Here is a 14,683-nt window from a genome sequence, read left to right on the forward strand (position 1 = left end):
CTGCGCTCCCCTCCTTTAAAATTGCAAGGACCCCGGGGAGGTTATGTAATCTGCCTGATCACAATTTGTCAGGGACTGATCCCGCCGAACACTCTTTGCATTTTAGCGCCAGTATTAGCTTATCAAAGGGCACTTACTTTTAGAGAGAGGTGGTTTGTAAATAGTAATCACACGTAGTGAGGGGAAGCCGCGTTGGGACCGCAAGGCTTTCCCTGTCACCTGGAGCCCATGTTTGGGCCGCACAGCTTTCCTACTAAAAACGTCATCATCTTCCTTCTTTTTGAAAATTCAGCATTTGCTTGAAGAAAAAAAAAAGTAGACTATGTCTTTAAAAATATGCCCAGCAAAGATAACTCACGAGCAGAGAGCTAGACCAGAAATTAAATATTTGGAAAGGAAATAAAGGTGTAATACACAAGCAGCACATTTATCCCCGCACCATTGGAAGGTGACTTTATTTGGTAATTTGCCCACCAAGACGAGGTAGACCAGAGGAGAGAGAAGGAAATAATTGTTCTTTTGTCTGTAACGCTCTGGGGGTATTGCCCTGGAATTTCTTAGGTCAGCTGCTGTGTGGGAAGGTGACAGCTTTTTCTTGAAGCTGAACATCAAGCTCAGTTTCGAGGTCATATTTGATGACTTATTTGATGGCTTAGTAATTGGGTCCTTTGGTCGTGTCTGTAAGTGATACAGACTGTTATTATTATTTTTAAAAACCACATTCAAATAATGCAAAGTGAAAAAAAAAGGTGTCAAAATCCGCTGGCGTTACTCTGACAGTCTCTAGCTGTGGTTCCCTAGCTGTGGTCTTCACCCTCGGCTGCACACTCGAATCCCTTTGGGAGGTTCGTTGTTTTTTGTGGGAAATTAAAAAAATCATGCTGATTGGGCAGAGATTCTGATTTAATTGGTCTGGAATGGGGCCAGGGCATTGGTAACTTTTGTAGTTTTTTTAGAGCTTCCTCAGGTAATTTTGACATTCAATGAAGACTGAGCCCCTCTGCACATTCCCAAATAGCATAGTTAGTAACAATGACAATGAAGAGCTTTCAGCCTAAAATTCGTGTGGATAATCTAAGTATAAAACAAGTACCTTATTCCGCCCACCACCAAAGGCTTAGAGAAACATGAGTACACACAGTACTTATTCCATCTACGAAGGGATGATGATGTGTGGAGAAATTACGAAGGAAAAGCTCATGGCTTCATGGTCTCTTGGGTATGATCAAGTGTAGGAAAAAGTCTACAGAGAGTGACTAGAAATGTGAAAATGGAAGCCATTAAAACTGAAGAAGGGAAATGAAAAAGAACTATTTTAAAACGATGACAAATTGACAAAGGATTTAATATTTTTGTCTTTAATGTAGAGAAGTTATGCAAATACCTCAGAAGGTGTCAGGGATTAAATAAAGGTGGTTAAATAAATAAATGATTCAGGAATTAATATGAAAGTCACATACTGATGGTAAACATTTGGAAAACATGTTCAAACTTGTTAATCACAAATTCAAAACTAAAATAATTAGGACGTGCCATTTTCTATCCACCAGGCTAACATATGAGGGAAACATGGAAAGGCTAATCTGGCTGGGCTTATAGGGAGGGATCTGTTGAGGCTCAGGAGACTGGTTAGCCGTTATGTGCACAGTTAGACTGACCTCAGCTTAAATCCTGGCTGCTAGTAGGTGACTTTGGGCAAGCTGCTTGACCTCTTCAGGCCTCAGATGCCTCATCCCAAAATGGAGACACCAGGAGCTATTTCTTTCTTTCTTTTTTTTTTTTTTGAGACAGAGTCTCGCTCTGTCGCCCAGGCTGGAGTGCAGTGGTGCGAACTCAGCTCACTGCAAGCTCCGCCTCCTGGGTTCACACCATTCTCCTGACTCAGCCTCCCGAGTAGCTGGGACTATAGGCACCCACCATCACGCCTGGCTAATTTTTTTTTTTTTTGTATTTTTTAGTAGAGATGGGGTTTCACCGTGTTAGCCAGGATGGTCTCAATCCCCTGACCTCATGATCCACCCTCCTTAGCCTCCCAAACTGCTGGGATTACAGGTGTGAGCCACCGTGCCTGGCCCACCAGGAGCTATTTCATAGGGCTCTTGGGGCCTGGTGGTTCTTTGGTAAGTGTGGTTCTTTGTATTACCTGGGAGATCTCAACCATCACAGTTGTCATTAGAAATCAGCACAACTGAATTGGAGAGAAATTTTGTAATGCATATCAGAAGCTATTCAAAAGCCTGTTTTTGGTTAAAGATTTTACTCTTGGGCCCGGTGTGGTGGCTCACGCCTGTAGTCCTAGCACTTTTGGGAGGTCGAGGTGGGCAGATCACTTGACCCCAGGAAGTTGAGACCAGCCTAGGTAACATGGTGAAACCCTGTGTCTACAAAAAAAGACAAAAAAAAATTAGCTGGATGTGCTGGCATGCCCCTGTAGTCCCAGCTACTTGGGAGGCTGAGGTGGGAGGATTGCTTGAACTCAGGAGGTTGAGGCTGCAGTGGGCCGAGATCTTGCCACTGCACTCCAGCCTGGGAGACAGAGCGAGACTCTGTCTCAAAAAAAAAAAAAAAAAAATTTTAACTGGATGTTCCCGATCCTGAAGAGGCTCTGTTGGTCTCTGCATTGGTTGGATGTGGCCTGGATCACTGTAATGTCTATGTGTTGAGCACTTGTTTCTGTGCCAGCCACTTTGTAGATGGTCAAGTTTAGATTTCCCAACGGTTTCATGAGGCACATACTCTTATGACCCTTAATTTATTGGTGAGGAAACTGAGGCAAGTTGGGCTTCAGATTCAAGTTTAACTTGAATTTATCCCACTATGTCATACTCCAGGTCCCAAACATCGCTTCCACTGAAAGCTTTCCAGGAGACCAAAGAACAGAAAAAATGATTGTGAAAGCTTTCTTTGGCCTAGAGAACCAAAAGCTATAGTGGATTATTATTATTATTATTATTTTGCTGAAAGCTTTATTTGTTCTCACTTAGGGTAAATGAAAAATTTCAAGATTTGGCTACAACTTCATTCTTTGAAAAGTAATGTTTTACAGAAAGAGAGGTTAGGGGTACTGGCTCTGAAGACAAAGCTTAGATTCAAGCCCAGCTTCACCACTTACACCAGTCCCCTGATTTTGCCGTTTCCTTGTGATATAAGGCACTCAGGAACACAAGCCAGGCACACAGTAAGTGTTCAGGAAGTGCTGGCATTATGAAGTTCAAACAGCACCACTGGTAAATGAAGTTCAGATTTCAGAGGTGGAGACTGTGTATGCAGCCTCACAGCTAAGTGGATGCCATGGTGAAATGTTTAGATCATAGGCCTTTGAGAAGAATTATCAGAATGTTAGAGGAATGGGCCTCCCTTGGCACCCAGAAATAAACGTTAAAGGAGGCTATTTCATCATATAACAACTTCCGAACTTCTAGAAAAGTGAAAAGAGAGGCTTGGGTAAGGAAGATGAAAGCCCTCCCACCACCCTGCGTGCTGACCTAGGGCATCCTTCCTTCTACTCTGTTGTTAGATCCTCATGATGGCCAAAAAAAAGCATTCTTTAACCTAAAGCATCCCCATGGCTCAATCTCTACCCCTTCATCACCAAGGAAAAGCCAGCTCTAGTGGATTAAGAGTTTTATACTGCAGGGCTTGTCTTCACTGAGAGCTAAATAAGGGTAAAGTAAGATAAACTTAAAAATGAGGGATTGAGGCCCGGCACAGTGGCTCATGCCTATAATCCCAGCACTTTGGGAGGCCGAGGCAGGCAGATCACGAGGTCAAGAGATCGAGACCATCCTGGCCAATGTGGTGAAACCCCGTCACTACTAAAAATACAAAAATTAGCTGGGTTTGGTGGTGCGTGCCTGTAGTCCCAGCTACTCAGGAGGCTGAGGCAGGAGAATGGCTTGAACCCGAGTGGTAGAGGTTGCAGTGAGCCGAGATCGCGCCACTGCACTCCAGCCTGGGTGACAGAGCAAGACTCCATTTAAAAAAAAAAGAAAGAAAGAGGGATTGAGCTGGCTACGTGAAGAATTCATGATTCTGCCATTCAAATGAGTGACTAGGGAGCCCAGAGGAAGCTTTCCCATTACAAAATAGAGACCGAGTTCTTACCTTCCTCATTGTGTTATTAAGTAGTTCCCCATTTTTTTCTTTTGGGTAAATTTACTCAGAGGATAAATTAACTTCTCTTTTATATAATATCATATAAATGGCCCAGTTGGTTGACATGAACCACTCTGCTTTGACTTTTAGACAAGAGCAGTTCACTTTATTTTTCCTACCAAATTGGCACACGTGATTTTAGAATGTGCGTCATCTTTCTGTCATCCTCAGCACATCATCTAGTGAACTGGTGAGCTGTGTGAGTTTCTGGATTGGGGCATGCTCCCAATCCAGGATTCACTGCTCCCAATCCAGGAGCAGTGAGTTTCTCTGCCCTTCAGACTGAGGCTTGTCTTAAAACTGTCTGCTTACCCCTCTCCGATCTGCCATGGAAATTAGGATATTCCAAACTCCAAAACAAAGTGATAGAAAGCAGCACTTCTCAAACTTTCAAGACACGTGCACCCCGCCCCTGGGCCTCGCTAACCTGTCTGACTCAAGCAGGTTCTGCATTTCTAACAAGCTGCCTGGCTACAATCGCAGCTCAGTAACGTGGTAGGGGAGAAAGCTTGAACTTTAGAGTAATACAAATTGGGTTCATATCAATTATTTCATTGAAAAACCGTGGTCACAGGCAGTTATCTAATTCTTGAGAGGCTTAATTTATTCATCTGTAAAGTGGGGAAAATACCTAGCTCATAAGATTGTCATTATTATAGGGAAACTACTAAATTCAGTACATGTCACATCTTAGCACTCGATGAATATAAGTTCCTTACACGATCCTTTGATGCACTAGATTTGAGTGGTGTTGACTGAATCCTCTTGTAGTAGAGACATCTGTGCAAAAGGAGACCTGTGTGTGTGCACATGCATGCATGTGTGTGTGTGCACATGCATGCATGCACGCACATATATCTGCGCATACACAAAGTAATGTGTGAGAGACCCCAGAAATCCCAGAGTGTAAGCTTTTGAGAAGCACTACTGGAAGCAACTGTTCACACGAATGTACTTTGTCTCTAACACATCTTTCGGGTGCCTTTTTTTTTTTTTTTTAACTTTTCCTAATTTCTACCAGACTTAGACAAAAAAAGACATGCAGAGCTGAAGATGGATCAGGCTTTGCTACTCATCCATAATGAACTTCTCTGGACCAACTTGACCGTCTACTGGAAATCTGAATGCTGTTATCACGTATGTATCAGTTCACACTCAGTTCTGTTTGCTTTGGGGCTTGTTTGATATGATCCTTAATGCTCTCATGTCTAAAGCCCTTCACAAGTTAATTTCAGTTTTGCAGCTAAAGAAACAAAGAAGCTATATAAAGAGTCGGAAGAAATACAGTCAGGGGAGGATGCCTAGGAATGCACAGCATCTATTTTTATCTTTTCATCTACTCATCCTTTAAAAAGCCAGTTCTCAGGGATGAACAACCTTGATAGACTATGTTTTATTTTCCTCCTCTCTAGTGCATAACCCTCTTGCTGGACCAGAGAAGGAAGGAGTGAGACACCAGGGTATTCTCCAGGGGCCAGCAGAGTGGTGCAAGTTGAGGGAGTGGCAGTTATTCCAGGGCCCTGCCTCCCTGATGATAACAAATGCATTTTCTCTGAAGGTTTTACTCCTATTCTAGACCTTGTTGCTTTTTAAGGACAAGGCTATTCTTTCATGTAAAATAAAATATTCTACTATGCAACCATAAAAAAAGAATGAAATCATGTCCTTTGCAGCAACATGGATGCAGTTGGAGGCCAATATCCTAAGTAAATTAACACAGGAATAGAAAGCCAAATACTGCATGTTCTCACTTCTAAGTGGAGCTAAGCATTGGGTACTTATGAACATAAAGGTGGGAACAGGAGACACTAGGGACTATTTGGGCTGCAGTACCCAAGCAGTACTGAAAAACTTGGGTACTAGAGCTGAGTAGTACCTATAGGGCTGAAAAATTACCTACTAGGTACTGTGCTCACCACCTGGGAGACAGGATCATTCATGCCCCAAACTTCAGCATCATACAGTATACCCATGTAACAAACCTGCACATGTGCCCCTGAATCTAAAATAAAAATTGAAATGATAAAATGTTTTTGCCAGGCACAGTGGCTCACGCCTGTAATCTCAGCACTTTGGGAGACCGAGGTAGGGGGATCACCTGAGGTCAGGAGTTCGAGACCAGCCTGACCAACATGGAGAAACCCTGTCTCTACTAAAAATACAAAATTACCGGGCATGGTGGCACATGACTTGTAATCCCAGCTACTTGGGAGGCTGAGGCAGGAGAATCGCTTGAACCCAGGAGGTGGAGGTTGCAGTGAGCCGAGATCGCGCCATTGCTCTCCAGCCTGGGCAACAAAAGCGAAACTCTGTCTCAAAAAAATAAAAAGAAAAAATTTTTATTGCCAAATTGAGAGCTTCGTTATACCTACCATCAGAGGTTGAATTTTAATTTATATTTATATTTAATTTATATTAAATTTATATTAAATTCATATATATAGTAATGCTATATCAAGGTGTTATGCTGTCGTCAAGGTGTTAGGTGTAGGGCAAGTAAGACCATTATTAGAATAAAACAAGTAGGATCATTGGCATACAACAGTGATGCTGTGGACAAATTAAAGAATTAAAAAAGAGGCCAGGCATGGTGGCTCACACCTGTAATCCCAGCACTTTGGGAGGCCAAGGAGGGTGGATCACCTGAGGTCTGGAGTTAGAGATCAGCCTGGCCAACATGGTGAAACCCCATCTCTATTAAAAAATACAAAAAATTACCCGGGCATGGTAGCAGGTGCCTGTAATCACAGCTACTTGGGAGGCTGAGGCTGGAGAATCGCTTGAACCTGGGTGGAGGCGGAGGTTGCAGTGAGCCGAGATCGCACCATTGCACTCTAACCTGGGCAACAAGAGCGAAACTCCGTCTCAAGAAAAAAAAAAAAAAAGAAAGAATTAAAAAACAGGAAGACAGGCCGTGCACGGTGGCTCACTCTTATAATCCTAGCACTTTGGGTGGCCTAGTGGGCAGATCATGAGGTCAGGAGTTTGAGACCAGCCTGGCCAGCATGGTGAAACCCCGACTCTACTAAAAATACAAAAATTAGCTACGCACAGTGGTGTGTGCCTGTAATCCCAGCTACTTGGGAGGCTGAGGCAGGAGAATCGTTTAACCCCGGGAGGCAGAGGTGGCAGTGAGCTGAGATCGAGCCACTGCACTCCAGCCTGGGCATCAGAGCGAGACTCTGTCTCAAAAAATAAATAAATAAATAAATAAATAAATAAAGGAATTAACTACACGAGACTGTTTTAAGAAAAAAATTGCCGATTTATTTAAAAGAGCATGGAGATAATTATGTCAGGAAAATGTATAAAGAAGTGACACAGGGTTTGTATTTAATCATAGTGGTAGAAAATATCCCATTATTGCAAAAAAGATTTTACCCTGGAAACTGGAAAGACACTTATGACTCTTTTAACTAGAGACTGATAAAATTATGTCTAGACATAAACTTTTAAATTTTGAAATTTAATGATAATTTTTAAAATTTTAGGCCGGGCGCGGTGGCTCACGCCTATAATCCCAGCACTTTGGGAGGCCGAGGCGGGCGGATCACGAAGTCAGGAGATCGAGACCATCCTGGCTAGCACCGTGAAACCCCGTCTCTACTGAAAAAATACGAAAAGTTAGCCAGGCATGGTGGCGGGCGCCTGTAGTCCCAGCTACTCAGGAGGCTGAGGCAGGAGAATGGCGTGAACCCGGGAGGCGGAGCTTGCAGTGAGCCGAGATCGGGCCACTGTACTCCAGCCTGGGCAACAGAGCAAGACTCTGTCTCAAAAAAAAAAAAAATTTTTTTTTAAATTTTAAGCAGATGTAGATTATAGGAGACACAAGTATGCAAAAAATGCAAATTATAATAACTTCATACATTTAGTAAACCAGATAATAAAAATCTGGGGCTGATGGAAGGATATCTTTAAGATATTTAAGGTGAAGGTATGCCCAAGAGATCAGTTACTAGCTGAGTTGAAGAATTTCCTGTTCTGTTTCCCTCTTTATCTCACTTCCTTAAAGTAGAAAGACCTTTTATTTTATTTATTTATTTATTTTAAGACGGAGTCTTGCTCTGTCGCCCAGGCTGGAGTGCAGTGGCACGATCTCACCTCACCACAACCTCCACCTCCTGGGTTCAAGCGATTCTCCTGCCTCAGCCTCCCGAGTAGTTGGGACTACAGGCGCCCGCCACCGCACCCAGTAATTTTGTATTTTTAGTAGAGACAGGGTTTCACCATTTTGGCCACGCTGGTCCTGAACTCCTGACCTTGTGATCCGCCCGCCTCAGCCTCCCAGAGTGCTGGGATTACCGACGTGAGCCACCGCGCCTGGCCAACATTTAGTTTTTTATAAGTAAGATGTTCTCAGTATGGTAAACAGTTAATGTTTCTGTATCTTTAAAATATTGCTAAAAAAAGAAGACTGAGCCCTGCGAGGTAGTTCACACCTGTAATCCCAGCACTTTGGGAGGCCAAGGTGAGAGGATCACTTGAGGTAGGAGTTTGAGACCAGCTGGGGCAACAAAGTAAGTCCTCATCTCTTTCAAAACAAAACAAAACAAAAACAAGACTATACAATGTGGAAAATACATAAAAAAGAAAAGATATTGTGAGTATTTAAAATTGCTTTTGGAGGCCAGGCGCGGTGGCTCACACCTGTAATCCCAGCACTCTGGGAGGCCAAGGTGGGCGGATCACAAGGTCAGGAGATCGAGACCATCCTGGCCAACACGGTGAAACCCTGTCTCTACTAAAAAATACAAAAAATTAGCCAGGCATGGTGGTGGGCTCCTGTAGTCCCAGCTACTCGGGAGGCTGAGGCAGGAGAATGGCGTGAACCCGGGAGGCGGAGCTTGCAAAGAGCCAAGATTGCGCCACTGCACTCCAGCCTGGGTGACAGAGCGAGACTCCGTTTCAAAATAAATAAATAAATAAATAAATAAATAAATAAAATAAAATTGCTTTTGGAAAGAGAAGAGCTATATATATATACATTAGTAAATAAAGTATTAAAAACTAAAATATTGCACTCATAAAGAATACAATGAAAACTTGTACTTTTTGATGAAGTAGATATTAGAATAAAAGGGGCTAGTTAAGCATTTGCATAAATAGTAAATACTAATGCTAAAATATGAACACCCTAAATAAAAAGGCACCAAATTTATGTGGGTCCCCAAAGTACATCGAAAATAATGGTAGCAGCTAATAATACAAAACAAAGTCGTAGTAGAGACAAATGATAAGATACTCTTACCAGGGCAAACATTTTGAAGGTTTCATCATAGAGCTGGTGAACTGAGCTGAATAATGTCAGGGAGTGAGGTGGTTAAGAGCTTGGATTCTGCAGTCCAAGTGTCTGGTTTGAATCCCACCTCTGTCACTTGTGTTACTTTGGGTATGGTTCTCACCTTCTCTCTGCTTCTCTTCCCCTGTGAAGCTGGAAAAATAACGGAACCTGCCGCTGAGCTCCTTGGGAGTGTTTCGTGACTGAGTGTCTGTAAGCTGAAGCAGAGCGAGACCTCTCCACGTGTCAGTGTTACTGGCAATAGAAATAAGTAACACGTGTGGCAGAAATTAAATGAAAAAAGTAGATAATTAAAAAATTCCTGTATATATTCGTTTCACAAAACACTCATCATATGTTAAGTCAAAAGAGACTGGATAAATTAAAAAAAGCAGGGATTATGTATTCTACCTCATACTTCTGCACAACAAAGAAACAAACTAATATAATAAGGGTTATAATATAAATACGAGCATTTCGTTGAAAATCTTTAGATCAGGCCAAAGCAATTCCTATGAAAAAAATGCATGTAAATGTTCATAATAATAAAGACGATGGTAATAGAAATTGCAGCTACTGTTTCCTGAGGACTTGTTCAGTGTTTTAGGTCTGTCTCATTTAACTTACAACACTCCAGTAGAGAGATTCTATCCAGGAGAGAGGATTTGCTGGAGATACTGAAATTAAGAGAAATAAAGTGACATTTTTCTGGGTTACCTAGCTGTTAGGTGGCAAAGCTACAATTCACCCCTCCCTGTAGCTTTGGAGGTTGGTATTTATGTTAATCAGAAAGAAAAGGGGAGGCTGGATGCAGTGGTTCATACGTCTAATCCCAGCACTTTGGGAGGCCCAGGTGGGCAGATCACTTGAAGGTTGGGAGTTTTGAGACCAGCCTGACCAACATGGTGAAACCCCATCTCTACTAAAAATACAAAAATTAGCTGGGCATGGTGGTGGGCGCTTGTAGTACCAGTTACTTGGGAGGCTGAGGCAGGAGAATCACTTGAACCTGGTAGGCGGAGGTTGTAGTGAGCTGAGAGCATGCCATTGCACTCCAGCCTGGGTGACAGAGCGAGAGTCCATCTCAAGAAAGAAAAGGGGAAATGCAAAGCTATTCAGTAGGGATCTCAAGGTTTTTGAAAGCAAACAGTGTAATCATCCAAACAAAAAGAAAAAGAAGCAATAATATTAATAAATACATAAGGTAGAAAATGATAGCAGAATCGAAGTAAGAACAAGCTGAGAAATGATTTTTTATTTTTGAGGCAGGGTCTTGCTCTGTTGCCCAGGTTGGAGTGCAGTGGTGTGTGATCATGACTCACTGCACTCTCAAACTCCTGGGCTCAAGAAATCCTTCTGCTTCAGCCTCTCAAGTAGCTAGGACTATAGGCGTGGACCATGACACCCAGCTAATTTTTTATTTAAAAATTTTTGTGGAGACAAGGTCTTGCTATGTTGCTCAGACTGGTTTGGAACTCCTGGCCTCAAGTGATTCTCCTGCCTCGGCCTCCCAAAGTGCTAGAATTACAGGCGTGAACCACAGATCTGGATGAAAATGATACATTTAAATGAGAAAAATAAAGGTTAAGTGGAGAGATAGCCAATAACCATTGATATCAAGACTAAACAGGAAAAATATCAGTGTTTCCCAAGTTAATTAATATACTTAATTTCTATTAATATGTAAATAGAATTCATTATATAGTCTACATAAATAATTTCAAAATTCATATGAAAAAGTAAATGAGTCAGAGGATCAAAAGACGGCCCAAATTGGTCTGAGTATTGTGGGTTATTGTTAAGCTGATTTAATATTGTCTCCCCCGACAACCATGCTTGACTAGCTTAAAAGAAAAAAAAAAAGGCCCAAAAGGAGATTGGGCAATGTGGAGACTTGCTGTATTAGATAAGATATATTGTGAGGCCATAATCGTTTATGTAGCCAAAAAAGAGAAATGAAGACTAACAGACCAATGTAAGTGTGAGAAGTAGAATCTAATTTATGTAAGAACCTAGAGTATTATAACTAAGACCATGGGGAAAGGTATTTAAAATTACTGTATACCATGTATCAAGTACTCCAAGAGGATTCAAGTTAAAAAGTAAACCCACAAACTAAAAAAAATTTTAAAAGGCAGAATACATTTTTAAAAAGTTTTTTTTTTAATTGACATAATAATGGTACATATTTATGGGGTACAGTATCTCGAACTGCTGAGCTCAAGTGATCCGCCCACCTCGGCCTCCCAAAGTGCTAGGATTACAGGTGTGAGCCACCGTGCCCAGCCAATGTACACGTTGGGTAATGATCAAGTTAGGGTAGTTAACATTTCCATCACCAAAACACTTGTCATTTCTTTGTGGTGCGATGGTTCAAAATCATCTCTTCATCTATTTTGCAATATACATTACATTATTGTTAACTATAGTCACCCTACTGTGCCATGTGTCACCAGAACTGATCCCATTGTAACTGTGACTTTTACACCTGTTGATCAACCTCCATATCTCCTCTTTCCTACTAACCTCTATTTACTCTCTACTTCTATGAGGTCACATTTTTAGCTTTTACATACGAGTGAGATCATGTGGTATTTGTCTTTCTGTGTCTGGCTTATTTCACTTAACATAATGTCCATTAGGCTTATCCATGTTGCTGCAAATGAGAGGATTTTATTCTTTTTTATGGCTGAATAGTATTCCTCTGTGAATATATTGCACATTTCTTTGTCCATTCATCGGTTGATGGATAGTTAGGTTGATTCCATATCTTGGCTATTATGAATAGTGCTGTATTAAACATGGGAGTACAAGTATCTCTTTGACAAACTGATTTTCTTTTCTTTTCTTTTTTTTCTTGAAGGATGAAAATGAGATTGATCTTTATTGTAGAATCCAGGCCAGGGGGCTGCTTTGAAGGCAAGAATTTCATGCTAGAAATTCCTTATTAGCCACACAAACTTCTTGTAGCAAGATAGACTTGTATTACTTTTTTTTTCTTTATTATACTTTCAGTTTTAGGGTACATGTGCACAATGTGCAGGTTTGTTACATATGTATACATGTGCCATGTTGGTGTGCTGCACCCATTAACTCATCATTTAACATTAGGTATATCTCCTAATGCTATCCCTCCCCCCTCCCCCCACCGCACAGCAGGTCCTGGTGTGTGATGTTCCCCTTCCTGTGTCCATGTGTTCTCATTGTTCAATTCCCACATATGAGTGAGAGCACGCGGTGTTTGGTTTTTTGTCCTTGCGATAGTTTGCTGAGAATGATGGTTTCCAGCTTCATCCATGTCCCTACAAAGGACATGAACTCATCCTTTTTTATCGCTGCCTAGTATTCCATGGTGTATATGTGCCACATTTTCTTAATCCAGTCTATCATTGTTGGACATTTGGGTTGGTTCCAAGTCTTTGCTATTGTGAATAGTGCCGCAATAAACATATGTGTGCATGTGTCTTTATAGCAGCATGATTTATATTCCTTTGGGTAATCCAGTAAAGGGATGGCTGGGTCAAATGGTATTTCTAGTTCTAGATCCCTGAGGAATCGCCACACCGACTTCCACAGTGGTTGAACTAGTTTACAGTCCTCCCAACAGTGTAAAAGTGTTCCTATTTCTCCACATCCTCTCCAGCACCTGTTGTTTCCTGACTTTTTAATGATCGCCATTCTAACTGGTGTAAGATGGTATCTCATTGTGGTTTTGATTTGCATTTCTCTGATGGCCAGTGATGATGAGCATTTTTTCATGTGTTTGTGGGCTGCATAATTGTCTTCTTTTGAGAAGTGTCTGTTCATATCCTTCGCCCACTTGTTGATGGGGTTGTTTGTTTTTTTCTTGTAAATTTGACAAACTGATTTTCTTTCTTTTGGATCTATACCCAGTAGTGGGATTGTTGGATCATGTGGTAGTTCTATTTTAATTTTTAGGAACCTTCATATTGTTTCCCACAATGGCTGTACTAATTTATATTCCCAACAACAGTGTGTAAGAGTGCCCCTTTCTCCACATCCTTGCCAGCATGCATTATTTTTTGTCTTTTTGATAGTAGCCAATCTAAATAACTGAGTTGAGGTGATATCTTATTGTGGTTTTGATTTACATTTCCCTGATTATTAGTGATGTGCATTTTTTCACATACCTGTTGGGATTTTTATATCTTCTTTTTTTCCCCTGATACATAATAGTTGTATATGTCTTTTGAGAAATACCTATTTTGATTTATTGCCCATTTAAAAAATGAGCCTTTTTTTTGCTATTGAGGTGTTTGAGTTCCTTATATATTCTGTCAGATGGTAGTGTGTGAATATTTTCTCCCATTCTATAGCTTGTTTCTTCACTCTGTGGATTGCTTCTTTCACTGTGCATAGGCTTTTTTACTTTAGTATAATCCCATTTGTCTAGATTTGCTTCTGTTACCTATGCACCAGTGTCATGCAATGTTTCCCCCATGCTTACTTCTAGTAGTTTCATAGTTTCAGGTCTTACATTTAAGCTGTTAATCCATTTTGAGTTGGTTTGTGAAAGATATGAGAGATAGGGGTCTAGTTTCATTCTTCTACATGTAAATATCCAGTTTCCCAGCACTATTTATTGAAGAGACTGTCCTTTCCTCAATGTGTGTCCTTTTTTTTTTCTTTTTTTAAGATGGAGTTGTGCTCTTTTTGCCCAGGCTGGAGTGCAATGGCACATCTCTGCTTACTGCAGCCTCTGTCTTCCGGGTTCAAGTGATTCTCCCATCTCAGCCTCCTGAGTAGCTGGGATTATAGACACCCACTACCATGCCCGGCTAATTTTGTATTTTTAGTAGATATGGGGTTTCACCATGTTGGCCAGGCTGGTCTCGAATTCCTGACCTCAGGTGATCTGCCAGCCTCGGCCTCCCAAAGTGCTGGGATTACAGGCATGAGCCACTGTGCCCAGTCACCTACTTTTTTGATGTAGACATTTATTGCCATAAACTTCTCTCTTAGAACTGGTTTTGCTGTATTCCATAGGTTTTGGAATGTTGTGCTTCCATTTTCATATGGAAACAACATTTTTAGTTTTAAATTTCTTTTTACATTTTCTCAAGAAAATTTTAAATTTCTTTTAAATTTTTTCTTTTCTGAGACAGAGTCTCACTCTTTCGCCCAGGCTGGAGAGAAGTGGTGTCATCTCGGCTCACTGCAACCTCCACCCCCTGGGTTCAAGTGATTTTCCTGCCTCAGCCTCCCACGTAACTGGGATTATAGGTGCCC

At 41.4% G+C, this 14,683-nt stretch overlaps 1 protein-coding gene and 1 pseudogene across 7 annotated transcripts in view, besides 2 other annotated features; both read left to right on the forward strand.

Annotated features, from left to right (window-relative positions):
* Positions 1-14,683, forward strand: part of HGSNAT (heparan-alpha-glucosaminide N-acetyltransferase) — a 62,392-nt gene that overhangs the window by 1,308 nt on the left and 46,401 nt on the right. For all 7 annotated transcript variants that reach the window (XM_005273409.2, NM_001363227.2, NM_152419.3 and 4 more), the window contains exon 2: positions 5,177-5,292. In XM_005273409.2, the coding sequence (XP_005273466.1) occupies positions 5,177-5,292 (116 nt within the window). The remainder of the gene's footprint in view (positions 1-5,176; positions 5,293-14,683) is intronic.
* Positions 1,871-1,920: a silencer, noted in NCBI's record as "silent region_19166". NCBI's record gives its function as "represses an Ori minimal core promoter by ATAC-STARR-seq in GM12878 lymphoblastoid cells {active_cell/tissue: GM12878}" and the evidence as "EXISTENCE:reporter gene assay evidence [ECO:0000049][PMID:35858748]".
* RNY5P6 (RNY5 pseudogene 6) lies at positions 11,205-11,280 on the forward strand (annotated as a pseudogene).
* Positions 13,791-13,840: an enhancer, noted in NCBI's record as "active region_27322". NCBI's record gives its function as "activates an Ori minimal core promoter by ATAC-STARR-seq in GM12878 lymphoblastoid cells {active_cell/tissue: GM12878}" and the evidence as "EXISTENCE:reporter gene assay evidence [ECO:0000049][PMID:35858748]".

This window comes from Homo sapiens, chromosome 8 (genome assembly GCF_000001405.40).
Source record: "Homo sapiens chromosome 8, GRCh38.p14 Primary Assembly".
Taxonomy (NCBI): domain Eukaryota; kingdom Metazoa; phylum Chordata; class Mammalia; order Primates; family Hominidae; genus Homo; species Homo sapiens.